This window comes from Homo sapiens, chromosome 9 (assembly GCF_000001405.40).
Source record: "Homo sapiens chromosome 9, GRCh38.p14 Primary Assembly".
In the NCBI taxonomy this organism is placed as follows: Eukaryota; Metazoa; Chordata; class Mammalia; order Primates; family Hominidae; genus Homo; species Homo sapiens.
In genome coordinates this window covers 101,385,534-101,411,562 of record NC_000009.12, presented here as the reverse complement: position 1 = coordinate 101,411,562, position 26,029 = coordinate 101,385,534, and the positions used below count along the sequence as shown (strand labels likewise).

The following is a 26,029-nucleotide window of genomic DNA, read 5'->3' as shown; positions in this document are numbered from 1 at the left end:
TTAAAAAAATGATTTTTTAGGGTTCTATGTTTTTTATAAGCAATGATGTGTATATGCAGTCAAGAACTGTTCACTGTTACTGGAGTTCTGAGTTGTCCAAGGATTTTAAAATTAAGAAATTTCTATAAATTCCAGATTCATGTCCAAGGATATTAAAAATTATGTAGGACTACCTCATACAACCATAGCCTCAAACTACTATGAGGTCAACAGCAGCCAGTGCTTCTGCTATGGAATATAACCGTACATGAAACTGATGTGACTTCAACAAAAAGCAAAGAAATGTGTTTCAGTGTACATGCAGTGAAAACATACACAATAGATTTTTAAAATACTGAGAACAGGTCTAAGAACCTCATTAGTTGAGATCCTGATCTGGGAACCACTAGTGTAAAATAAGTACAACTGGGAAGGTCCAGGGCAGGAAAATTTTATATGAGTCAGGTGCAGTATGTTGTTTTTTGTACTTTTCCTTGGACTACAAATTGTTTTGAAATGTCAACTGTATAGTAACTATGAGTACCTAATTTGAATAAGGGAGTGCACAAAGATATGTATCTTTCTATACATGTACCATAATCTCCACACTCACATGCAGGTACACACATAAAGAGATGGGAAGATGAAAGTCTGGAGGTAATTTTTGGAATGACTGAGGTACAGGAGAAGGAGGGGTCATTTGCTCAAACTATTAGGAAGCTGGAATTACAGAATTCTGCTAATTTGGAATTCTATACTCAGAAACTGAAGAACCTGGGCTTAATTGAGCTACTCCAGAAAAGCTTAACTAGTCACACACAGAACAAATGACAGCTATTTCCTTCCTATTTTTGATTCTAATTTTAAAAACACAGTAATGCGTTTGACAGAATTGGTTTTACACTAAAGTAACAACTCTTACACAAAGCTAAAAACAAAACAGGTTTTAATGGTTAAAACAGATGAATTAATAGGTTTATAATAACCATTAACTAAGGGAAGCCCTAGAACAAGAAATAAGGATTTTTAATTGCATGCAAAACCTAGTTACCATAAAAACCAATGCAATACCAAAATATCTCAGCTTCCTAGCATAGACTCCAGGTCTTTTCATTTCCAATACTTGGCAGTCATAATATGTACACTTTCATATGCACCTGGTTGTGGAGGGATAAGCTCATTCACATAGGACTACAAATATCTCTCACAGGTAGGAGGGCACAAAAGAACAATATCTTCCTCCACTTTTTTGGGTCCATCTTGAAAAACAAAAAAGGCACTCCCAAAGGTTCCTTGGTAACACCTTTGTTAGGTTTCTTAATTACTAACATAATCTTTACATGTAAGGTTAATGGTCCACTCATTTCATAGATCTGGGAACCATCAGGCATTGGAACTGCCTTTAACTCACATGCCAAACAACTGGCTTTCTTAAACAATGACAAAAACTGTATACTTGTTTTAAAAACATTTGGGCTTTGTTTCCTTGACAACTTATATATGCTTAATCACTGGACTTTGGCATGCAGAGCCAAACATATCATGGAACTGAAAGAACCACAATATGACATGGTGACAGAAGACTCTTTGAATCATTATTCTGTTTTCCACTATCAGCTGCTCCAGCTCCCTTATACTAATCCAACTTTGTCCCTCAGAGCACCCATGCTCTGAACCTAGGTTTAATCTCTCTGCTGAAAGATTTATTAAAGATACTTAGATAAATTACCAAGTCTTTCTCTACGATCATCAAAGAGTAAGGGAAGTCAAATGCTCATGGGCAGTTGTCCACTATTCACAGAATCTTTAGAAACTATTTGCCTGAGGCCAAGGAGAATTTGCTTTATCACTAAATCTGACCCATGTTGAGCCATACTAAAACTGCACTTGGGTACTAGTCTCAAATCAAATTGAGCTTATGTATTGCTCTACATTTATTGCATCCATGCTGTGTGCAATTTCTGATGCTGAATAAGAGAAATACGGCAATTAAAGGCTTCACCACAAGCGTCACATTCATGGGTTTCTTGGGTTTTCACCTCTGCATGGATCTTCTGATGGTTGACAAGACTGCGCTGTTGACTGAAACTTTTGTCGCACTTCTCACACTTATAAGGTTTCTCTCCTGTGTGTATTCTCTGATGCTGAATAAGACCCGAGTTCCGGCTAAAGGCCTTTCCACATTCATCACATTTATGGGGTTTATTACCTGTGTGAACACCCTGATGTCGAATAAGATTACAAAGCTGACTAAAGCTTTTTCCACACTGTCTGCACAGATAGGGTCTCTCACCAGTGTGGATTCTCTGATGTTCAATAAGAAATGAGCTCCGGCTGAAGCTTTTCCCACAGACAGTACATAGATAGGGCTTTTCACCAGTGTGGATTCTTTGATGTTGTACAAGATGAGCACTAACACTAAAAGTTTTCCCACATTCATCACATTTATAAGATTTCTCCTTAGGGTAGACTTCCTGCTGTATAACAAGACTGCAATTTGGATCAAAACTTTCCTTAGTTTCATTGTATGGATAAGTCTTCTCCCTGGTGTGAATTCTCTGATGCTGAATAAGACCTGAGCTTCTACTAAAGGCTTTTCCACATTCCTCACATTTATGGGGCTTGTCTCCTGTGTGAATTCTCTGATGACGAGTAAGGTTGCAAAGCTGACTGAAACTTTTCCCACACTCTTTGCACTGATAAGGTCTTTCACCAGTATGGATCCTCTGATGTTCAATAAGGAATGAGCTCCGACTGAAACTTTTTCCACACTCAATACAAAGAAAAGGCTTCTCGCCAGTGTGAATTTTTTGGTGTTGTATAAGGTATGTGCTTAATCGAAAGGCTTTCCCACATTCACCACATTTATGGGGTCTTTCCCCAGTGTGAATTCTTTGATGCTCAACAAGCAATGAATTTCGACTAAAGCTCTTCTTACATTTGGTACAGTGATAAGGTTTCTCACCAGTGTGAGTTCTTTGATGCTCAATAAGGTGTGATTTCCAACTGAAGGCTTTCCCACAGTCACTACATTTATGGGGTTTCTCACCTGTATGAATCCTTTGATGTTTAACAAGGCTCCTTCTCTGGCTGAAGCTCTGTTTACACTGATTACACTGATAGGGTCTTTCTCCAGTGTGGATTCTCTGATGTCTAATAAGGGTTGAGCTCACACTAAAGGTTTTTCCACAGTAATTACACTCATAGGGCCTTTCCCCAGTGTGAATTCTCTGATGTTCAATAACAAATGAACTGCGACTAAAACTTTTCCCACATTCATTGCACTGAAAAGGTTTCTCACCAGTATGGACCCTTTGATGTTGAATGAAATGGGCCTTGCGGACAAAACCCTTTCCACATTCTTCACATTTATGGCATTTCTCTTCTGAGTTTGGTCTTTTACGGATAATGTTAGTGTTTTCTCTGAACATTCTCTGTTCCTGGGTCAAAGATTCCCTTGGTATTTCCCATAGGAAGATCCCTCTTTGTTTATCTAACCTACCAACAAGTTCAAATGTTTCTCTACCCATAGGATCCTGGTCAATTTCACTTTTGATTCTTGTAACTATTACACCCTGTGGTTCCACTTCTTCCTCAATTTCTTCAATCTCTTGTTTTACAGTTGGCTCCTCATCCTTATCTCTGTTCAAAACATCTGGAATAATAAAAAGGAAATACAAAGATCAACCAAGGTCTTTGAAGCAAGGAGAAACAAAGTAAGATGGGCAAACAAAGAAACAAATAAAGTCAAGGTGGGATTAATCAGTCTATCAAGGAAAACAGGGTAGGATGAAAAAAAACTCCACTAAGTTCAAGAAAATTAAGGATGAGAAAGCATTATTGGAATATGATCAGACCAAATAATTAACAGAAGGGACCAGATGCTAATGGCCAGGCATAGTGGCTCATGCCTGTAATCCCAGCATTTTGGGAGAGTGAGGTGGGAGGATCACTTGAGCTCAGGAGTTTGAGACCAGCCTGGGCAACAGTGAGACTTCATCTCTACAAAAAAAAAATTTTTTTTTAATTAGCCAGACATGGTGGTACACACCTGTAGTCCCAGCTACTCAGGTAGCTGAGGTGGGAGGATTGATCACTTAAGCCCAACAGGTTGAGGCTGCAGCAAGCTGTGTTTGCGTCGCTGCACACCAGCCTAGGCAATAGAGTGAGACCTAATCTCAAAAAAATAAAAATAAAAATAAAAAAAGATGCTAAGAAGGATAAAAGACAAAGATCCAGGGGAAACAATAATTCATTCATTAACAAGCATTTACTCACTGCCCATCAAAAGCACTCCAGAAACATTGTAATCAGCCAGGATTCAGAGATAAGACATGAAGCCCCCCTGCCAAATGGAATGGATGTTAAGTAAAAAATGGGGAAAGAAAATAATATGATAAAGAAAATATTAAGTAAAAAGCAGCTCCTGTATAAAGAGACAAAATGGCTTTTAAAAACAATAATAAAGGGTTAGGTGACAGAGAGTCTATGATATCGAGATGCAGAATAAAATAAGTATTAAGAAACATGGTCAGAGTTCATGGGAGCAACAACCAAAAAGGGCAGTCTGTGGTAGCTTATGACTTTACCTACCACAAATCATACCTCAAGTACATGTGATTCTAAACCCTCTAACAATATAAGACCCAAGGTTCACCATCTTGTTCCAACTGAGAGGCTGCATGACATCTGAGAAATGAAAATCTTGCATGTGTTGAAGAAAAGACAGCACAGTGGTCTATGATATAACAGAGTGTCATATAGTACATCTAGGCCCGCTTCGGACATCTTCCTGATTTTCCATCTCTTGCTGGAATAGATATTAGATAATTCCGCTAGAAGATTCAATAATGACCACATTTATATTTGGCCCTAAACAAGCTCCTTTTTCATACATCCTCTTTTCTCTCAATTTTTTGTGGAGTCATCTTTGAATTTTCTATTTGCTTACTTCATTATTTTATTCTAAAATAACCTTTTCCTATTCCCCTAAGAAACTACTAGAAATTTTATTTCTTCTAAGGCTTTTTAGTGTCCCCTCTCAAATTTTTCAGTGGGCTGTATTTTCTTTCACATAATGAAAAAACATGAAAGAACTCCCTCAACTTTCTGTCCTCTACCTATAAAATTATCTGCCAATGGTACATAAAGATATATCTGATTCTTATGCAAGGCTAATCCATCCATCACTTACCGATCCTACTCACCTCTGGGCATTTGCTTAATTATCCCGTCTTTCCTCTTTCTTCAATACACACTCTCTATTGACACTTTCCTACCATTACATAAATATGTCCAATTTTATCTTGAACCTGAAATCCTTCTCTTTATGAAAGCCAAGCATTGAAAAAAAATCTTAACACCGAGGTTTTCTATTTCTTATGTTTTCCAAGCCCAACCTCTTCCTATTCAATCTATTCTGCAACCTGTGGCGAAATCTGGTTTCTGTTTCCAGCATCTAGAGAAACTTCTCATTAGATTACCAATGACTCAAATAAAAATAAAACGGGCATTTTTTTTTTTTTTTTGAGACAGAGTTTCACTCTTATTGCCCAGGCTGGAGTGATCTTGGCTCACTACAACCTCCACCTCGCGGGTTCAAGCAATTCTCCTGCCTCAGCCTCCCAAGTAGCTGGGATTACAGGCACCCGCCACTGTGCCTAGCTAATTTTTTTGCATTTTTAGTAGAGATGGGGCACCATGTTGGTCTCGAACTCTGACCTCAGGTGATCCACCCACCTCAGCTTCCCAAAGTGCTGGGATTACAGAAGTGAGCCACCGTGCCTGGCCTAAAATGGGCATGTTTCAGTCCTTATGTTATTCAGCAGCATCTAACACTGTTGACCACCCCTATTTCTTGACATTATCTGTTTTTGGTTTCTACACTACCACATTCTTTTATTTCCTTCCCTACTTCTTTGGCCTTTTCTGATAAATTTCCCTCATTTATTTCTTTTCCTTTGTCAACTGACTTTTGTTATTGTTACCCACATTTACATCCTTACTTGTTCTGTATATACACCCTCCAGATATCTCCAGTTAAATGCCTCACAAAGGGCTCACAATTAACATGGTCATCATCATCTGCTTTCATGCCTTTCCCCACCTTTAATTATCTCTTGAAAGGCACCATCATCCATTACCCTATAGTCTCAAAGCAGCAATCATCCTGTATTTCTCCCTTCTTCTCACGTTAATCAATCATCCAAATCCTGGATTTCTCTCTAGCACCTATCTTTCATCCCTCACAATCATGTAGCTGCCTTATAATCTTTGGCTCCAGTCTTTAGGCTGCCAACACATTATATATGCCTTACTGATTCTAGAAGAGATCTCTATAAAACAGAATTCTACTCAAGTCATCACCTGTAGATTTAGCAGCTCCCCATCACCTTTAAGATCGAATCAAGCTCTTTGCTATGATACAACTCTTCATGACACAGTCTCTAAGCCTCAAGTCATGTTCCTACCTACTTTATCATACTTTATGTAGGCAAATTGTTTGTGTTACAGTCTTTCATGTCTTATCTTCACATATCTCATTTACTAAATGTCCCTCAACACTGTTTACCTGGCAAACTTTTGGTTTTAAGATTCAAAGCAATCTTTAAGTTTAAAGCAACAGTTCCTCTACAAAGCCTTTACTAAGTCCACTAGACAGATTCAGGTGTTCTATTTTTTTATTACCAGCCCTCGACCATAATTCTATTATTGCTATGATTACACTGCATTTTTTAACTGTTCGTTATTTGTCTCTTCCACTAGATTGTAAATTCTTTGTGAGAAGGCAGTCTCTTCAGAATATTTGTTCAGTTATGTTAGTTGGATTAGTGGATACTGTTCTGTCAATTTCATTCAAATGAATAAGACAAAATGATCATTACTTGAAGATGATATGAATATATACCTAAAATTCCTGGAAGAAGCAAATGAAAATATAATCATAACAAGATTAAAAAGCTTGTTCTTAGTACAAAAAAAGTTAGTAAATATTATACAGAAATGATATAAATGCTTCACAATAGTAACAAAAAACATAAAACCTAGGAATAAACATAAGAAATGTGTAAGATCCATAAAAATATTCCATACAATTTTTCTGAAAGACAAAAGGATACAGTTAAACAGAGTCAACCAAATGGCTAAAGAGATTCAATATTATAAGGATCTCAATTCCTTTCAATCTATGAAACTAATCATTCCAATCAAAAATCACATGAACCAATAAAAAAGTAAATAAATCTAAAGTTTAGAAGAAGGCAGACTAGTGAAGTACATCCTGAAAAAGATTATTAAAGAATGACTTATATTACCAGACACAAAATGTAATATATTGTTAAAGCGAATAAAACAATGACATTCACATAAAAATAAATAGGTCAACAGGATAGGCAGGTGAAAAAAACAAGAGTAAGGCTTCCACACAGAGCAGCCTTGAAGTGACTATCCATTAGATCTGGGCTTGGCAATGCTTATGCAATATCTTCCCATCCTGTGGTCATGGCCAATTTTTCTACACAGATAGTTGTCTCAAAGTGGGTTTCGCCAAAGAACCTGGAATTAAAACTGAAATCGCTAGTTATTCGGAAGGTAGCTAGAATTGTAACCTATCAAACCAGAAGCCAAAAGGACAGAAGAATGTGAACATAAGGAGAAAAGACTAAACCGTCAAGGAGAAAAAAGAGATAAGACAGTGTTATAGACTGAATGTTTGTGTTCCCACCAAATATTCATATGGTGAAGCCCTAATCCACAATGTGATGATATTTGGAGGCGGGGCCTTTGGGAAGTAATTAAATTTAGATGAGGTCATGAAGGTTGGGCCCCCATGATGGGATTAGTGTTCTTATAAAAAGAGGAACAAAGACCAGAACGTTTGCTCTATCTCTCTCCCCTTCTGCCATGTGAAGACACAGTAATAAGGTGGCAATCTGCAAGTCATTGCGGAAAGAGTCATTAAAATTGAAGATGTCAAAGATCTGAGAAATTAAGCTATCAACTGTATCATCGATGTAGCTATTAAAGTTTTTTTAAAAATAAGCTTGAAAAGGAAAAGTATGAATGAAAAGCCAAAACTATAAAGCTAGACAAGAGTTGCATTATGAAAAGCAGTTAAGATGATGTAGAAGAGAATACTGCATTGCAACAGTAGAGTAATAGTGATCTCTCATCAAGGGAGCTCTCACCAAAGGGATGGAGATAGTGTTTATTGAGGAGGATGAAAAGACTGTGGGAGGAGAAATGATGAATATGGAAAGCTGTATTTAAGCTGAAATAAAGAAGACAGCCTACAAGTAGAAGATCATCTGTGGGCACACTGTCACACCTTGTCCATATGGTATTTACATGCTGCAGTTCTAGGAGAAGGCAGGGCCAGGCACTTACTTGGTTCTATCAACCAGAATACCATATGTATGGATAAGCTGGCAGTGACTGAGAGACAACATGGTATATTAAAACACACACACACACACACACACACACATATCAGCAGCTGATATGGCTGAAGACTAAAGTGGTGTGCAGGAAAAAACAGGTGAGGCAAGAAAGATAGGCAGAGGCTATACTTGGAAGGTCCTATATGATAAGAAATTAAGATTTTTATCATTTAAGCTATCAGGAACCATCAGAAGTTTTACACAGTTAACTAATACAAAATCACTTTGGTGGCAGTAGAGAGAATATATTTTAAAAAAGGAGACTAGTGGCAAGGGGGTAGTTTAGGGGTTAATGTAATAATCCAGTTAAGAGATACTGAGTCTTAAGTTAACTGTACTTACTCAGTCATATAAATATTTAAGAAGCATATAATATAGGCCTGGCTCTGTGCTAAGTGCTGGAGAAATCAAATGCAACAGGTATATCTACCATCCTCACAGTAATCAGTGAGGTTAGAAAAGTAACATATATAGAATGATTGTAGTATAGTATGATAAATTCAATAGCAGGAGTATATACAAGGTAAAACAAAGAAAGGAGTGCTTAGCTCTGGTAAAACAAAGAAAGAGAAGGCCCTTGATTTTAATGGATTGAAACTTGCCAGGTTTGAATTACTCATGTGGTCTTCAAAAGATGACTAGGAATTGGAAACTCAACAGAGAAGATGATGACAACAATATAAGTCAACATTTATATTGTTCTTAACTACATGTTAGTGTGTCAAGTGTTTTACATACATTAATTCAGTCAATGCTCACAATAACCCTATGAGGTAGGTGCTATTATTATTTCCATTTTATAAAAAAATAAATTGAGGCAAAGAGAGATTAAATCACTATACTCACCAGGCTAAGTAAGTGGTGGAACAAGGATTTAAACCTAGGCAGTTAGGCTCCACATTACCTTTCTTAGGTGGAAATAAAGATTTGGGCCACGCACGGTGGCTCACGCCTGTAATCCCAGCACTTTGGGAGGCCAAGGTGGGCGGATCACCTGAGATCGGGAGTTCGAGACCAGCCCGGCCAACACAGTGAAACCCCTTCTCTACTAAAAATACAAAAATTAGCTGGGTGTGGCGGTGCATGCCTGTTTGTCTCGGCTACTCAGGAGGCTGAGGCAGGAGAATCTCTTGAACCCAGGAGGTGGAGGCTGCAGTGAGCTGAGATTGCACCACTGCACTCCAGCCTGGGCAACAGAATGAGGCTATGACTTGAAAAAAAAAATGGGACTTATTTTCACAGAGCGGTAGCTGATGACCTGAGTGTAGGTAAGGTCCCCCAAGGAAAGAGTACAGACTGAGGGGAAGTCTGAGAATGCAAGCCAATGGAGGGAAACAATAAAGAGTTTCACATATTCATAGAGAGGTAGACTAAAATAAGGTCCCAAAAGAGTCTACTGCATTTGACAATGACGTGTTACAGATCACTGTTAAACAATTTAAAGGGAGTATTAGAGGCAAGACAAAGGGGCTCAGACACAAGGGGAGGTAAAGAAATACAGAACACACATTAACTACTCTTACAAAATCTTGACTATGAAGAGAACAAGTAGTAAATCATAGGCAGCAGCAAGAGGGAGAGTCTGACTCATAGGAGGGATTTTTTCTTTTTTCCTCTCTTTTCTCCTGTTGAAGAGTTATGAACATACCAATCATCAGAATAAGGGTACCAAGGGAGAAGAAATAGTGACTGAAACTAAAAGGGAAAAAAGAATGACTGATTAGTTTCTGGAAAGGTGAGAAGATGAGAGCAGCTTTAAGTGTGTAGATAAGAGGCAGAGAAGTTGAGAGTTCATGCTTATTGGCCTTTATTTTCTCTGAGAAACAGAAGGTGAGCTTCACTACTTAATGATGGATAAGCTTTTGGAATAGTCACTAAAAAGAACAGGGCAGTGAGCATATCAGTGACAAAAAATATTGCTAAGATATAAAAACCCAGTGGAGAGTGGAAGAAAAAGGCCATACTTATATAAAGGATATCAATCTTTCTGGTTAGAGAATTTCTCCTGCTATGTTTAGCAATTTGGGTAGGAAAGAGAGAAAGGTGAATTTTATAACAAATACAGGATTTGAAGTTTGCAGAATGGGTAGAGAATAATGACAAGCTAGCAAGAGAGCTTGCTGGTGATTAGATGGGGATACAAGCCCAGAAAGGTTGGACACCTCAGTGAAAAAACAGAGACGTCAAGGGACAGGAAACATCGTTAATAATGAATGGGTTTAGGTGGAAAGGAGTAGGAAAGATAGAGAAGTTGTAGTAAGCTCCACAAGGGGAGAAAGCCTGTCTGTTTTGGTTACCCTCGTCTAGTCACAGTCAATAAACTTCCATTTCCGAATAACTGGTCAGAGAATAGGGTATTGGGATTTACGATTTGCCTGTTATGACAAAACTGGTATGATCAATGATGTAAGGTGCTGAGTAAAAGTGGAAAGCAGGGTCCCTGAAGATCCACTGAGGCTGAAGTATTAACTGGGTCATCCATGGCACGAGTTAAAATAGACTATGAAACATGTGACAAAGTTATGTGTGAAGGACCAAACTAAAAGTTGACAGATAGTGAAAAGGAATTGAGTGGAAAAAGCAAGACTGCTGAGACCTCAAAGAAGGAGAGATTTTGTTTGAAGGTGGAAAACTAATGCTTTGGGGACAGCATTTAAAAGCTGAGTGAACAATAACTTCCCCCTTCCAACATTGAGACAAAGGATGGGGAAGGAGGAGGATGTGGGAGAATAAGCAGCCCCCACTTGAAAAACTGCCAGAGAAACGTTGTCCTTGGGATAGTGCCAGGTTTCAGTTAAGGCCAGGAGGGAAGGAACATTATGTGAAGACGAACAGGGGTTCCAGAACGCAGAGTGAAAAGGGGTGGGAGGAAAGCTGTGGGAGGATGAGCCAGGACGGAAAGTACAGAACAATATGGGAATGAGATTATGAAGACAGGATGCCCGAAAGGCTTGCAGTTTGGTCACCTCAAGGAAGCTAGGGATGAGAGTTATGGAAACAATTAATGGCTAAAAGGTTTGAATCAGAACTTTGGAACAAAGCAGTTTTGGTACTGGTTTCCGTCCAAATGTTCTGTTAGTCTGATTTCTCTCTACCTTCTTAGATATTTTAATTAGAGAAACAGCAGATTCTTACCCAGTGAGACCAGGTTTCCATAATTCTCCATCATGACATCTTTATACAGGCTTCTCTGAGCTGGGTCCAGATAATCCCACTCCTCCTGGGTAAAAAACACAGCCACATCCTCAAATGTCAGCAACCCCTGAAATAGTATGATTTCTGTAGTCAGTTCCTGTTGTCTCAAGGACAATTCTACCACTAAAAGTGACAGAGGCAATCACTTATTGTGGCCAAGTAGGCTAGGAGGAACATGATAACTGAAAGTTCCATATGTTGCCCAATTCTGGGAACGAACTGTAACTGACAGACATCTCAGACTAGAAAGGACCTACGGATAAGGCTTTTCTGATTTATTATGCCCTGAGAGTTTAATTTTAGTAAACTGCCCCAAGGCCTCTCCAAGCTTCCCTCACCTCATTGCCTACTTCAATTTTCCATTTGCACTGGCTTGTGACTCTATTCAATTCAATTCCTTGAGGTTCTCTAAGCGTGTACCTTGGGGTCCAGGCACTGTGCCAGGAACAGAAGACACAAGGGAAGGTCAAAAATGGTGCTTCACCTGGAGAACTCACAAATGAGAGAGCTAGTCTGGAGCATTACTTATTTTCTCAGGCCGATTTATCAAGTCTCTCTAGAAAAAGAAAAAAAAAAAGGGAGCCAGTGGGCAGTTTGTTCGCGAACCGCACCCCAATGCACTAGTGGGGAGTTCCTTGCAAGGCGCTGGCCCTAAAGAGGCGGTCAGGAGGTTGGTGGGGGGCCTGGGGGAGAAAGCAGTGGTGCGGCCTAGCTGGGGTAGCGGCGAGACAACCGGGATCCCCGGGGGGGTGCTTACTTACCTTCGACTCCGGCGGGGGGCTCGGGGAAGCCATCTCCCAGGCAGAGAATAGGGGCAGGAATTGGGGGCGGCCTCACGGAAAGGAGCCTCTGGTGAGGCCTACCCGGCTGCTGGAAATTAGGCTCGACGAATACGAGGATCCCTGGCTGGGTCTGGCCAGTGCCTGCCTCGGCCCCCAGACGGTCACGACCCCAACAGCATATCAGACGCGATCCCTGGCTGTCCCCCAACCCCGAACCCCAACCCCTACTCCTGCCTGGTTACGCAGCCTTTCAGGCCTCGCTAGAGCCTCCTCCCCGCTGCCAGTTCCTCCTCCTTGCAGCCAAGTAACGCTATGACCGCCCGCCCCCGGACCAGAAGGCGTCACCCAGATTCTTCCCGAGGCCCCCTCAACTACAACTCCCGTCATGCTCGGAAAGAGCGCCGCGGTCCAGACGCCGCCAGCAACAGCTACTGGACTACATTTCCCAGCGTGCAAAGGGCGAGGGAGCCTACAGGAAAAAGAAAGCTCTTGCCACTGGGATTGTATCCGATTGGCTGGTCTGGGCGCGTCACTGCTGGCTGAAGGCTGCGCTCAGGCCCGTGGATCTCATCGAAGATGGCGGCGCGATCTGTGTCGGGCATTACCAGAAGAGTCTTCATGTGGACAGTCTCAGGGACACCATGTAGAGAATTTTGGTCTCGATTCAGGTAAAGCTTTATGGTGGACGGTGGGTCATGTTCAAGGAAAGTTAAGGAGGATTAGGGACGAATTCAAAATAGAGTGTTACGCCATCGTGGTCCCGCGCCTGATCAGAGCAAGGACAAGGAGGTCCGGTTAGGGTCCCGAGTTGAGAAGCACTCATTGAGTGGTGGGACCCAGTCTCTTCCACTCTCGGCCTTAGTTTTCTCATTTTATAACGGAAATACCACCCCCTTTCCTTTTCACTTCACTCATTCATTTATTTATTAAGCAAGCAGGATTAACCTCGTGTGCGAGACACCGAGTGTGTTGTCTGCAAACACATGAAAGCGCTTGGTAAACTAAACTCATTTGCCGGCTGTGTTTCTTCACAAGCAAGGTTCAGTAATGAAGTACTGCCTCCTCCTTTTGTTTGTTCATTCATTCAGTCATTCAACAGATTTCTTAGGGCCAGCATTACTCTAAGCGCCTAGGATACAGCAGGAAAAACAAAATCCATTCTCATCCTCGAGGTACTCCAACATATGAGGAAACAGGCCCACAGGAGGGAAGTGATTTTCCCAAAGTCACAAAGCAAGTTAATTGCAAAGCTGGATCTAGAACATATGTCTCCTAACTCCCCATCTACTGCTTTTTCTGCTGCACGGCTGCACCATGTGTAATTGTTTGAAGGTAAATCTAATTTGACTTAGATAGTGTTTAGGAAATCAAAACGTATGGTAGGAACCCTAGGGAGCAATGTATGCTCTCTTAGGTTTAAAACAAAAACCACTACAATTAGGAAAGATCTTTTTCATCAGTTCAGATATTAGCTTTCCCTCTTCTTTGGTCAATATTTGTTATTATCTCTCAAATCTCTTCCAAGTTTGTTTTATTCATTCACTCAACAAATATTTTTTAGGCTGTTTACTATATGCCAGGCTATATCTTAGGTGTTGTAAGAATACAGTGGTTACTAAAACAGACCAAATTTTTGTTCTCGTAGGGCATATGTTCTAATGGAGGAAGAAATGAACAAATGTGTAATGTAATTTCAGAAAGTGGTAAATTATGAAGAAAACTAGAGGAAATAGATTACTGAGAATGATGATTATATTTTCTTTACTATTTTAAAAATTTTATATATTTAAGATATACAACTTGATGTTGATTATTAGTCAAGATAATTATCATATTCATCTCTTCACATACTTTCTGTTTTGTTTTGTTTTAGAGAAAGGAGTTCTCACTATGTTGCACAGGCTGGTCTTGAACTCCTGGACTCAAGTAATTTTCCCACCTTGGCCTCCCAAATTGCTGGGATTCCAGGGGTGAGCCACCACACCTGGCCAGTTAGAATTTTTGTGTGTGTGGTGAAAACACTTAAGATTTACTCTCAGAAGATTTCAAGTATACAGTACAGTATTATTAATGATCGTCACCATGGTGTACATTAGATCTCTGGAACTTATTCATTCTACATAATTTAAATTTTACCTTTGTCCAACGTCTCTTCATTTCCGCCACCCCTGGTAGCCACCATCCTACTCTCTGTTTCTATGAATTTGACTTTTTTTTTGTTTGTGTTGGAGATGGAGTCTCACTCTGTCTCCAGGCTGGAGTGCAGTGGCGCTATCTTGGCTCACTGCAACCTCCGCCTCCCAGGTTCAAGCGATTCTCCTGCCTCAGCCTCCCGAGTAGCTGGGACTACAGGTGCCCGCCACCACGCCCGGCTAATTTTTTTATTTTTAGTAGAGACAGGGTTTCTCCATGTTGGCCAGAATGGTCTCGATCTCTTGACCTCATGATCCACCTACCTCAGCCTCCCAAAGTGCTGGGATTACAGGCGTGAGCCACTAAACCCGGCCTAATTTGACTTTTTAGATACTACATATAAGTGAGATCATGTGGTATTACTCTGTCTGGCTTATTTCTCTTAGCATAATATTTTCCAGGTTCATCCATGTGTTACAAATATCCTTTTTTAAGGCTGAATAAAATGCCATTTTTTGTGTGTGTATATATGCAAGCACATAATATATACATATATTCATACATAGGTACACATATACATATAGACACACTTATGGCATTTTATTCAGCCTTAAATATTGTGTATGTGTGTGTATACATGTATACATTTACATGTATACACACATGCTGCAATGAAGATGAGAGTGCAGATGTCTCTTTGAGATACTGCTTTCATTTCCTTTGGATATATACCGAGTAGTAAGATTGCTAGATCTTAGGATAGTTAGGATAGTTCTGTTTATAACTTTTGAGGAAGCTTAATACTGTTTTTTATAATGGCTATGCCAATATTCATTCCCACCAGCAGCATATAAGGGTGCCGTTTTTTCCATGTCCTCACCACACTTGTCTTTTTGGTAATGACCATCCTAATGGGTATGAGGTGATGTTTATTTGTAATTTTTTTTTAATGTTTATGGATGCATAATAGTTGTAGATATTTATGGGGTACATGTGATATTTTGATGCAAGCATACAATGTGTAATAGCCAAATCTGAATAGTTGACGTATCCATCACGTTATTTATCTCTTTGTTTTGGGAACATTCTAAATCTTCACTTCTAGCTATTTTGAAATACAAATAAATTACTACTAACTATAGTCACCCAATTGTGAAATCAAACACTAGAACTTACTCTTTTTAGCTGTAGTCCTCTTCTCTAACTGTATTACTCCTTTTAACTGTATTTCTAACCAATCTGTCTTCATACCTTACCTCCTCACTACCCTTCCCAGCCTCTGGTAACCATCAATTTATTACTACCTCCATGAGGTCTTTTTTTTTTTTTTGGTTCACACATAGGAGCGAGAACATGCGATATCTGTCTTTCTGCACCTGGCTTATTTCACTAAAGAGTGTCCTCCAGTTTCATCCATGTTACTGCAAATGACAGGATTTCATCCTTTTTTAATGGCTGAATAATATTCCATTGAGTATATGTACGGTTTTTTTAATATCCATTCATCCATTGGTAGAAACTTAGTTTGATTCCATATCTTGGCTATTGTGAATAGTGCTGTAATAAACATGGAGTACAGATATCTCTGTTAGACTGATTAACTTTCTTTTGGATGTATACCCAGCAGTGGGATTGCCAGATCATATGGTAATTTTATTTTTAATTTCTTTGGGAAATTTCCATGCTTTTCTCCATAGCAGTTGTACTAATTTACATTCCCACCAACAGTGTACTGGTATTCCCCTTTACATCCTTGCCAGCATTTGTTATTTTTTGTCTTTTAAATAATAGTCATTTTAACTCAGGTGAGATAATACCTCATTGTGTTATTGAGTTGCATTTCCCTGATGATTAGAGATCATTTTTTTTATATACCTGTTGGTCATTGTATATCTTCTTTGAGAAATATGTATTCAGATCTTTTGCTATTTTTAAATCAGGTTTTTTTTGTTGTTGTTACTGAGTTGTTTGGGTTCCTTGTATATTCTGGTTATTAATCCCTTGTTGGATAGTTTGCCAATTTTTCTCCTATTCTCTAGGTTGCCTGTTCACTTTGTTTATTGTTGCCTTTGCTATGCAGAAGCTTTTTAGTTTGATATAATCCCATTTGTTGATTTTTGTTCTTGTTGCCTGTGCTTTTGAGGTCTTAACTCAAAAGGTCATTGCCCAGACCAAAGTCCTGAAGCATCTCCCCAATGTTTTCTTCTACACAGAAGCTTTTTAGTTTAGTATAATCCCATTTGTCTATTTTTGTTCTTATTGCCTGTGCTTTTGAGGTCTTACTCAAGAAGTCGTTGCCCAGACCAATGTCCTGAAGCATCTCCCCAATGTTTTCTTCTAGTAGGGTTATAATTTTGTAACTGCCCAACGGGTTCACTTTGCCTAGACAGAGCTGATGTATCAAGGCAGAGGAATTGCAATGGAGAAAGAGTAATTCACGCAGAGTCAGCTGTGAGGATACTGGAGTTTTATTATTAGTCAAATCTGTCTCCCCGAAAACTTGGGAATCGGAGGTTTTAAAGATAATTTGGCAGGTAGGGGCCTAGGAAATGGGGAGTGTTGATTGGTTGGGTTAGAAATGAAATCATAGGGGGTCTAAGTGAGTTCTTGCCAACTTATGATCCTGGGTGGGATCACAGAACTGATTGAGCCAGATTACCGGCTTTGGTGGTGTAAGCTAATCCATTGAGTGCAGGGTCTGCAAAATATCTCAAGCACTGACCTTGAATTTTACAATAGCAGTGTTATCCCAGGAGCAATTTGGGGAGGATCAGACTCTTGCAGCCGGAGTCTGAATGACCCCTAACCATAATTTCTAATCTTGTAGCTAATTTGTTAGTCCTACAAAAGCAAACTGGTTCCCAGGCAAGAGGGAGGTCTTTTCAGAAAAAGGCTATTACCAATTTTGTTTCAGAGTCAAACTGTAAACTCATTTCCTTCCCAAGGTTAGTTTGGCCTATGCCCAGGAATGAACAAGGACAGCTTAAAGGTTAGAAGCAAGGTGGGGTCAGTTAGGTGTGGTCTTTTTTTTTTTTTTTTTTTTTTGCTTAGCATTACTTTGGCTATTCAAGGCATTTTGTGGTTTCATACGAATTTTAGGATTTTTTTTTCTATTTCTGTGAAGAACGTCATTGGTATTTTGATAAAGATTACATTGACAGTATATCGCTTTGGGTAGCATAAGCATTTCAACAACATCAATTCTCCCAATCCATGAACGTGGGATATCTCCATTTTTTGTGTGTCCCCTTCAATTTTTTTCATCAGTGTTTTATAGTTTTTATTGTAGAGACCTTTTACTTCTTTGTTGAAGTTTATTCCTAGATTTTTTGTGTGTGTGGCTATTGTTAATGGAATTGATTTCTTGATTTCTTTTTCAGATTGTTTACTATTGGCATATGGAAATGCTACTGATTTTGTATGTTGATTTTTGTATTCTGAAACTTTACTGAATTTATAATTTCTAAGAGTTTTTTTGGTGGATATTTAGGTTTTTCTAAATACAAGATCATATATCAACAAGATATATAAGATCATATATCTTACGTATGATACATAAGATCATATATCTTACGTATGATACGTAAGATCATATATCAAATAAGAACAATTTGACTTCTTTTCAATTTTGATGTACTTTATTTCTTTCTCTTGTCTAATTGCTGTGGCTAGGACTTCAAGTTCTGTGTTGAATACAAGTGATGAAAGTGAGCATCCTTGTCTTGTTCAAGATCTTAGAGGAAAGGCTTTGAGTTTTTTCCCATTCAATGATGCTAGCTTGTTTTGTGTCCTTGTTTGGTGGGTTTGTCATGCATGACCTTTATTATGTTGAGGTATGTTCCTTCAGTATCCAGTTTATTGAGAGTTTTTATCATGAAAGGATGTTGAAATGTATGAAATGCTTTTTCAGCATCTATTGAAATGATCACATGATTCTTGTTCTTGATTCTATCAATGTGATGTATCGAATTTGTTGATTTGCATATGTTGAACCATTCTTGCATTCTGGGATGAATCCCACTTGATCATGGTGAATGATCATTTTAATGTGTGGTTTAATTCTGCTTGCTAATGTTTTGTTGAGGGTTTTTGCATCTGTGCTCATCAGGAATATTGAACTGTAGTTTTCCTTTTTTATTTTGTCTTTGTCTGATTTTGGTATCGGGGTAATGCTGGTCTTGTAGAATGTGTTTTCCTTTTTTATTTTGTCTTTGTCTGGTTTTGGCCTCAGGGTAATGCTGGCCTTGTAGAGTGTGTTTGGAAGTATTCTCTCCTCTTCAGTGTTTTGGAATAGCTGTGGTAGAATTCGTATTGATTGGCATTAGTTCTTCTTTAAATGCTTGCTAGAGTTCAGTAGTGAAGCCATCAGGTCTTAAGCTTTTCTTTGATGGGAGACTTTTATTACAGCCTCTTTCTCATTATTTCTGTTTGGGTTTTCTTTTTCTTCGTGATTCAATCCTGGTAAGTTGTCCGTGTCTAGGAATTAATCCATCTCTTCTAGGTTTTCCAATCTATTGACTTATAGTTGCTTGTAACAATCTCTAATTAGCCTTTAAATTTTTGTGATATCAGTGTAATATCTCCTTTTTTGCCTCTGATTTTATGTATTTGTGTCTTCTCTGTTTTTTTTAGTCTAGCTAAAGGTTTGTTGATTTTAACTTTTCAATAAACCAACTTTTTAATTCATTGATCTTTTTATTGCTTTTTTAGTCTATTTTATTTATTTCTACACTGATCTTATTTCTTTCCTTCTACTAATTTTGGATTTGGTTTGTCTTTTTCTAATTTAAGGTACATCTTTAGATTGTTTATGTGAAGTTTTTCTTTTTTCATGTAGATGTTTATTACTATAAGCTTCCCTCTTACTACTGCTTCTGCTGTATCGCATAGGTTTTGATGTGTTGTGTTTTCATTTTTATTGCTTCAAGACGTTTTAAAATTTCCTTCCTAATTTCATCATTGACTCATTGGTCATTTGGGAGCATGTTATTTTTTATGTAGTTGTATAGTTTCTAGAGTTCTTGTTATTGATTTCTAGTTATATTTCATTGTCGTTAGAAAAGTCCTTGATATGATTTTGAGTTTTATGAATTTGTTAAAACTTGTTTTGTGTTCTATGATACAGTCTACCCTGGAGAATGTACCATGTACTCATGAGAAGAATATGTATTCTGCAGCAGTTGGGTGAAATGTTCTCTAAGTGTCAAGTCCATTTGGTGTAGAATGTAATTCCAGTCTTTCTTTGTTGATTTTGTCTGGATGATCTGTCTGTTATTGAGAGTGGGTGTTGAAATCCACAACCATTAATGTATTGTAGTCTATCTCTTCCTTTAGATCTATTAATATTTGTGTTATGTGTTTAGGTTCTCCAATATTGGTTGCATATATATTTATAATTGTTATATGCTTTTGCTGAATTGACCTCATTATGATTATGTAATGACCTTCTTTATCTCTTATAGTTTTTGACTTGAAATTTATTTTATCTGATATAAGTATAGCTACTCCTGTTCTTTTTGGTTTCTGTTTGCATGGAATATCTTTTTCCATCTCTTCACTTTCTGTGAAGTAGAATGTAAGTAAAATTAAAAGTCAGGTAGGATGTGATACACTCTGAGAGCAGTATAAACTGCTGAAGAGATCACATGAAATCACAATTATATTTGATTCTGGAAATTAGGTAAAGCATCTTGGAAGAGAACAATTTTATCCTAAGACTTACAGAATAAGCAAGATTTCCATAGGTGAAGATAAAAGACAGGCATTTTAAGATATGACTTGAGCCAACACATTGTGTCAGGAAAGTGGGAGTGTGCTTGGGACACAGGATATAGAGTATCACATGGAGTATATGTAGGTAATCAGTGAAAGGTAAGACCAGAAAGGTAGATTGGGGTGGGATCTTGGAGGATGGGGAATCCCAGACAATGATTTACCTTACTTCTTCACCCATTCTTAGGAATTCTTACAGTATGTAAAATATGTACTTAGTTTCTTTCTGTCTCTCCCAACTCAGTTCAACCATGAACGTTCTAAGGGCAGGGGCCTACCATATTCTTTCCTACTCTCAGTAGTCCCCAGTGGTAATCAGCATGCCATTGTTGATTTTGATTGGTAGGCAAGATTTGGTCTGGTGTTTGTCAACTTCATTAATGGATTTGTCTGTTTGTTTTTGATCATTCCAGAAAAGAGAAAGAGCCAGTGGTTGTTGAGACAGTAGAAGAGAAAAAGGAACCTATCCTAGTGTGTCCACCTTTACGAAGCCGAGCATACACACCACCTGAAGATCTCCAGAGTCGTTTGGAATCTTACGTTAAAGAAGTTTTTGGTTCATCTCTTCCTAGTAATTGGCAAGACATCTCCCTGGAAGATAGTCGTCTAAAGTTCAATCTTCTGGCTCATTTAGCTGATGACTTGGGTCATGTAGTCCCTAACTCCAGACTCCACCAGATGTGCAGGGTTAGAGATGTTCTTGATTTCTATAATGTCCCTATTCAAGATAGATCTAAATTTGATGAACTCAGTGCCAGTAATCTGCCCCCCAATTTGAAAATCACTTGGAGTTACTAAGCAATTCGGAAGAGAAACACATTGAAATCACTGTCTTTCCCTGAGCAAGGGGGCTGCTCATTAGATCTTTTGATACTTTACCATGTGAAATACTACCAGAACTGTTCTCTAAACCCACTTTTTCTGTAGAGGAATGTATCATCTTTTTTTTTCTCATATTACAAATGGACAAATAACGGACTTTCTATTTTCATATTTGCTGAAACCATTTTTTAAATGAAATTAGGTCATTATTTATGAAAAGTTTTGAGAGGGCACTGTCAACTTGGGTTTAAGACAGGAGGACATTGCAAGTTCACACCTTTCATAAGCATAAAGTAGTTGCAAGAAAGTATTTTCATCCTGTTAGGATTCATATCTAAGATAGAGTTATGCATTGCACATACACAAATAAACTTTTATTAGATAGATACCTATAAAAGAAACATAAAAGTATGTTGTGTATTACTGACAGTTCTAGATTAATTTCTTTTAGAATTAAAGTAGATTTGTTAAAGTGTATTGTGTGTTGTAAATTTTTTAAGTGAAATTTGCTTGCGCTCTGCCTTGCCATTTCTTTCCAGTAAGTATAATTTTGAAAAAATTAGAATATATGCCAAATATTGAGTGCTGTGACTCTTCCTCATAAGAGATGTGCCAGATTCTATGTCTAATTGCATATTCTCTTCAGAGGAGATGATGCTTATTTTAAACCTTTTTCTCTATAACTTTTAAAAAGTGGTGCTGAGTATTCACTAGAGTGGCAAGTCTTTGTGCTTTAATGCACTCAATTTGTGGAAATTACTTAAATAGCAGGTTATCAGATGGTTCTGAATGACAAAGGTGTTAAATTTGGGATTTTTTTTTCAAGCTTTAGATATGGCTGGAGAGTAATGAGACAGAAGGAATGTCTTATATTGTTCTGACTGCTGACAATTCCTAAAGAAAAGTGATAGAAGGGTTTTTAACAAAATAAGTTGCATTTATTCTCTTTCCCAGGGTTACTCCTTTGAAGAGGGCAAAATTCAGTTGGGAATATAAATTCTGGAATCTTCATGAAGAAAATTAGTTAACAGTATAGACATGCCCTACAAATATCATCCACAGGCACTTCATTCAAGAACTTCAGGTGTCAGAGTGCCTGGAGCTCTGGAGCTTAGACATTAGAGTTGATTCCTTGGGGATTGGTTCCAGGACACCTACTTGGATACCAAAGTCCACAGATGCCCAAGCCCCTTTTATAAAATGATGTAGTATTTGCATATTATGTATGCACATCCTCCCATATACTTTAAATCATCTTTAGATTACTTATACTGAATAGAATGTAAATAGTATTTACAATTGTGAATACAATGTATTTAGTTATGTAAATATGTAAATTTTAAAGTTATGTAAATATGTAGCTATGTAAATAGCTATAAAATAATATTTACAATTGTGAATAGTATGTAAATAGTTGTGAACATAACTATTGTGAATAATATGTTATATGTTATAGTTGTGAATGTAAATAGTATTCACAATTGTGAATACAATGTAAATAGCTTTCACAATTGTGAATACAATGTAAGTAGCTATGTAAATAGTGAATACAATGTAAATAGCTATGTAAATAGTTGTTATGCTGATTAGGGAATAATGAGAAGGAAAAAAAGTATACATATTCAGTACAGATGCAGTCATCTTTTTTTCCCCTCGAACATTTTTGATCCACAATTGGTTGAATCCACAGATGGGGAACACACAGTCTTGGTAAATTTAACCAACAAGGAGGGTAAACGCATCCCAACAGGGAAGGTAAACTGCACATCCATCAGTACCTCTAGAGGGCATCACTGGTTTATAGCTCAATACAGTGACTATATCAGAATAATGGCCTTTAGTTTTCCTGAAAGATTAAATTAGGCTTGCTGTTGTTGAATGAGATAATCAAACATATGATGTAATTTTAAAGGGTTTACATACAGAAGGCCTGCTGTATGTCCTGCTTCTGCTGTGTAAAAGATTCAGCATGGAATCATTGGAATTTTATGTACAGGATTTCATTATCTCATTTTCTATACAATTTTTCCTTCTGATCCAGAGACACGGAAAAACAAAGGGCAAGATGGAAATAAGGGATGAGAAGGTCTATGTGGAAAAACAGTTACAACTGGAGTGGTAACTGCAAAAACCAAGCAGCTTCATGTGATCGTTAGGACAGAAGAAATTTCTCCTTTGTAGCCTAGAGCAATATTCTCAAAATTTAATGCGCATGTTAATCATTTGGGGATCTTTTATTCATTTTTTCATGTGGGGATCTTTTAAAAATGCAAATTCTGATTTGGTAAGTCTGGAGTAGGTCCTGAGCTTCTGCATGCTTCAAAAGCTGATTATGTTTTGAGAACATGGATCTAGATGCTGGTATTGAGGTGGGAGACAAGTACTGCCACCTGAAACAACAGTCTTGGTAAATTTAGCCGACGAGGGTAAACACATCCTAACAGGGAAGGTAAACTGTACGTCCATCAGTACCACTAGAGGGCATCACTGGTTTATAGTTCAATACAGTGAATATATCAGAATAATGGCCTTTAGTTTTCCTGAAAGATTAAATTAGGCTTGCTAACTTGTTTAATGAGATAATCAGACATATGATGTAATTTTAAAGGGTTTACATTTTTAAAAATTTAATGATTGCTACATAAAAAGGGTATCAGTTAACTAATTTTACTTAGATGGAACTTCTGTAAGCTTAGTAGGTATGCTTAAATAAAGCCTGCTAATAAAATAGAGATTCAGACTCAATAGAATGGTTTTACATATGTAATATATGTTTTAAACTGCATAAAATAAACTCCTCCCTCCTTTCTTAACGTGTCATTTTTCTGATTACAAAAGTAGCACGTTCTTTTTAGAAAATTGGGAAGGAAAAAAGCAAAAACAAGAATGAAAAAACAAAACTATCTTGCCGCTCATAATTACTTAACATTTTGGTATATTTCCAAATGAAAACAATTATTTTCCTGTATTTTACAATTACTATGGCATCATGCTCCCCTTCACATTATAAGCATTTCCCCATGTTTTTAAAGACAAGAATAACAAATTTGATTAATAGCATATTATTGTATAATTAGATGTCATGCAATTATTTAACCAATATTCAACTGGATATTTAAATTCTTCCCAGTGTTTTGCTTTTCTGTTCTTTTTAATCCTGCTTTTCTAGTTCTTAGAGAATTGGTCTGCCATAGATCTTTCTACTCAGAAGTAGAAGATACTGTACTGTAAATTTCTTGACCCTAAACCTAAGAATGAACAATTTGGTCCTACTTCTTTGATTCATAATCCCATTAGCATGTATTCTGTGAATCCTAAAACACAAAGTGACAAGGACTTTGAAATTTTCACTAGGTTGTTACACAGTGCAAAAATCCTAAAGCTTTTACTTGAAAAGTTTCCAAATTTAAAAATAGTCTGTAACCTCTGATCCTATAGAATTCCAAAGTTAATCTCAGCTGTACAGTAACAGACTGGAGCAATCATCAAAGTTTTGCTTTCCATCATGAAATACCAAATTCAAACTATGTAACACTGATGTAACAATAATCATATACTGTCCATATTCAAATTTCACCAATGTCCTAGTAATGACCTTTATAGCAATTTCACTTCCAATCCAGGATCCAATCCTGGTTTATTGAGTTGGTCGTTAATTATTGTTTCTTGGTCTCATTTATTCTTCAATAAATTTTTTCAAGTAATTGATTTCATGTAAGTTACCAAATTAATTAGCATAAAATTGTTCATAATATTCCCTAATTAATGTCAGTTGGATCTATAATAATAGGCCCACTTTCATTTTGAGCTATTTGTTATTTGTGTCCTATCTTGTTTTTATTTAATCAATCTAGGTTGTGGCTTATCAATTTTTTAGCTTTGGCTTCATTTTATAATTTTAAAAATTATATTATTCTTCCTTTATCATTCAGTTTGAAATATTTCCTAATTTCCAGTGTGATTTCTTTTTGACTCATGACATAAATATGTTTGATTTTCAAATATTTGGGAGTTTTCTAGATGGCTTAATGTTATTAATTTCTAATTTCATTGAGATATATGATTTCAGTATTTTTACATGTATCGAGATTTTATGGCCTAACTTATGGCCTATCTTGTTGAACATGCCGTGTACATTTGAAGTTGTTGAGGCGATTAGGGTAAGGTCATTATAGTGTTCAAATCTATGCCTTTACTGATTTTTTTCAAGTTTTCTACCAATTGTTAAAAGGGATTTAAACACCTTCACTCATGGTTATGGAATTGTTATTTTTCCTATTTCTCCTTTTAATTCTGTCAATTTTTGCCACATAAATCTTGAAATCCATTATTCGGATTTATGGTTTTTATGATCTTGTCATATAGATATATGATATATATATATTTTATAATCTTAGTCATTACTACTTTAGGTTTCTTATGCTTATTGTTGCATAGTATGTGTTGCGGGAAGTCAGGGACCCCAAATGGAGGGACTGGCTGGAGCCGCGGCAGAGGAACATGAATTGTGAAGATTTCATTTTAATATGGACATGTATCAGTTCCCAAAACTAATACTTTTATAATTTCTTACACCTGTCTTTACTGCAGTCTCTGAACATAAACTGTGAAGATTTCATGGACATTTATCACTTCCCAAATAATACTCTTATAATTTCTTACGCCTGTCTTATTTTAATCTCTTAATCCTCATATCTTGGTAAGCTGAGGATGTACGTCACGTCAGGACCACTGTAATTGTATCTGACTGTACAAATTGATTGCAAAACGTGTGTTTGAACAATATGAAATCAGTGCACTTTGAAAAAGAAAGAATAACCGTGATTTTAGGGAACAAGGGAAGACAACCACAAGGTCTGACTGCCTGTGGGGTCAGGCAGAATAGAGCCATATTTTTCTTCTTGCAGA

At 37.5% G+C, this 26,029-nt stretch overlaps 2 protein-coding genes across 10 annotated transcripts, besides 5 other annotated features; one reads left to right on the top strand and one right to left on the bottom strand.

Moving 5' to 3' along the window:
- Positions 1-908: 908 nt before the first annotated feature.
- Positions 909-12,712, bottom strand: ZNF189 (zinc finger protein 189). Of its 9 annotated transcripts, none has more exons than NR_103480.2 (4): positions 12,374-12,712; positions 11,553-11,637; positions 4,031-4,132; positions 909-3,634 (listed from the first exon to the last, which is right to left on the bottom strand). NR_103480.2 is itself a non-coding variant. In XM_006717280.5 (4 exons), exons 3-4 carry the CDS (start codon positions 11,584-11,586, stop codon positions 1,914-1,916), a joined length of 1,755 nt encoding a protein of 584 aa, XP_006717343.1. In that variant the 5' UTR covers positions 11,587-11,679; positions 12,033-12,168; positions 12,374-12,712; the 3' UTR covers positions 909-1,913. The 9 variants fall into 9 exon arrangements, 8 of the variants coding, with proteins under 8 accessions (XP_006717343.1, NP_932094.1, XP_011517300.1 ...); XM_006717280.5 differs by lacking the exon at positions 4,031-4,132 and adding an exon at positions 12,033-12,168 and having other exon boundaries at positions 11,553-11,679; NM_197977.3 differs by lacking the exon at positions 4,031-4,132 and adding an exon at positions 12,033-12,168.
- Positions 2,720-3,919: an enhancer, noted in NCBI's record as "BRD4-independent group 4 enhancer chr9:104169926-104171125 (GRCh37/hg19 assembly coordinates)". NCBI's record gives its function as "activates an origin of replication core promoter dependent on BRD2, P300/CBP, MED14 and CDK7 cofactors, and independent of BRD4, by STARR-seq in HCT116 cells {active_cell/tissue: HCT116}" and the evidence as "EXISTENCE:reporter gene assay evidence [ECO:0000049][PMID:35650434]".
- Positions 12,712-13,241: an enhancer, noted in NCBI's record as "active region_28724". NCBI's record gives its function as "activates an Ori minimal core promoter by ATAC-STARR-seq in GM12878 lymphoblastoid cells {active_cell/tissue: GM12878}" and the evidence as "EXISTENCE:reporter gene assay evidence [ECO:0000049][PMID:35858748]".
- Positions 12,712-13,302: a biological region, named in NCBI's record as "H3K27ac-H3K4me1 hESC enhancer GRCh37_chr9:104160543-104161071".
- Positions 12,774-13,302: an enhancer, noted in NCBI's record as "H3K27ac-H3K4me1 hESC enhancer chr9:104160543-104161071 (GRCh37/hg19 assembly coordinates)". NCBI's record gives its function as "activates a minimal SCP1, AML or CMV promoter by ChIP-STARR-seq in primed H9 embryonic stem cells {active_cell/tissue: H9 hESC(primed)}" and the evidence as "EXISTENCE:reporter gene assay evidence [ECO:0000049][PMID:30033119]".
- On the top strand, positions 12,945-23,930 carry MRPL50 (mitochondrial ribosomal protein L50). Its single transcript, NM_019051.3, has 2 exons — positions 12,945-13,062; positions 20,713-23,930. Exons 1-2 carry the CDS (start codon positions 12,971-12,973, stop codon positions 21,095-21,097), a joined length of 477 nt encoding a protein of 158 aa, NP_061924.1. The 5' UTR covers positions 12,945-12,970; the 3' UTR covers positions 21,098-23,930.
- Positions 13,303-13,832: an enhancer, noted in NCBI's record as "H3K27ac hESC enhancer chr9:104160013-104160542 (GRCh37/hg19 assembly coordinates)". NCBI's record gives its function as "activates a minimal SCP1, AML or CMV promoter by ChIP-STARR-seq in primed H9 embryonic stem cells {active_cell/tissue: H9 hESC(primed)}" and the evidence as "EXISTENCE:reporter gene assay evidence [ECO:0000049][PMID:30033119]".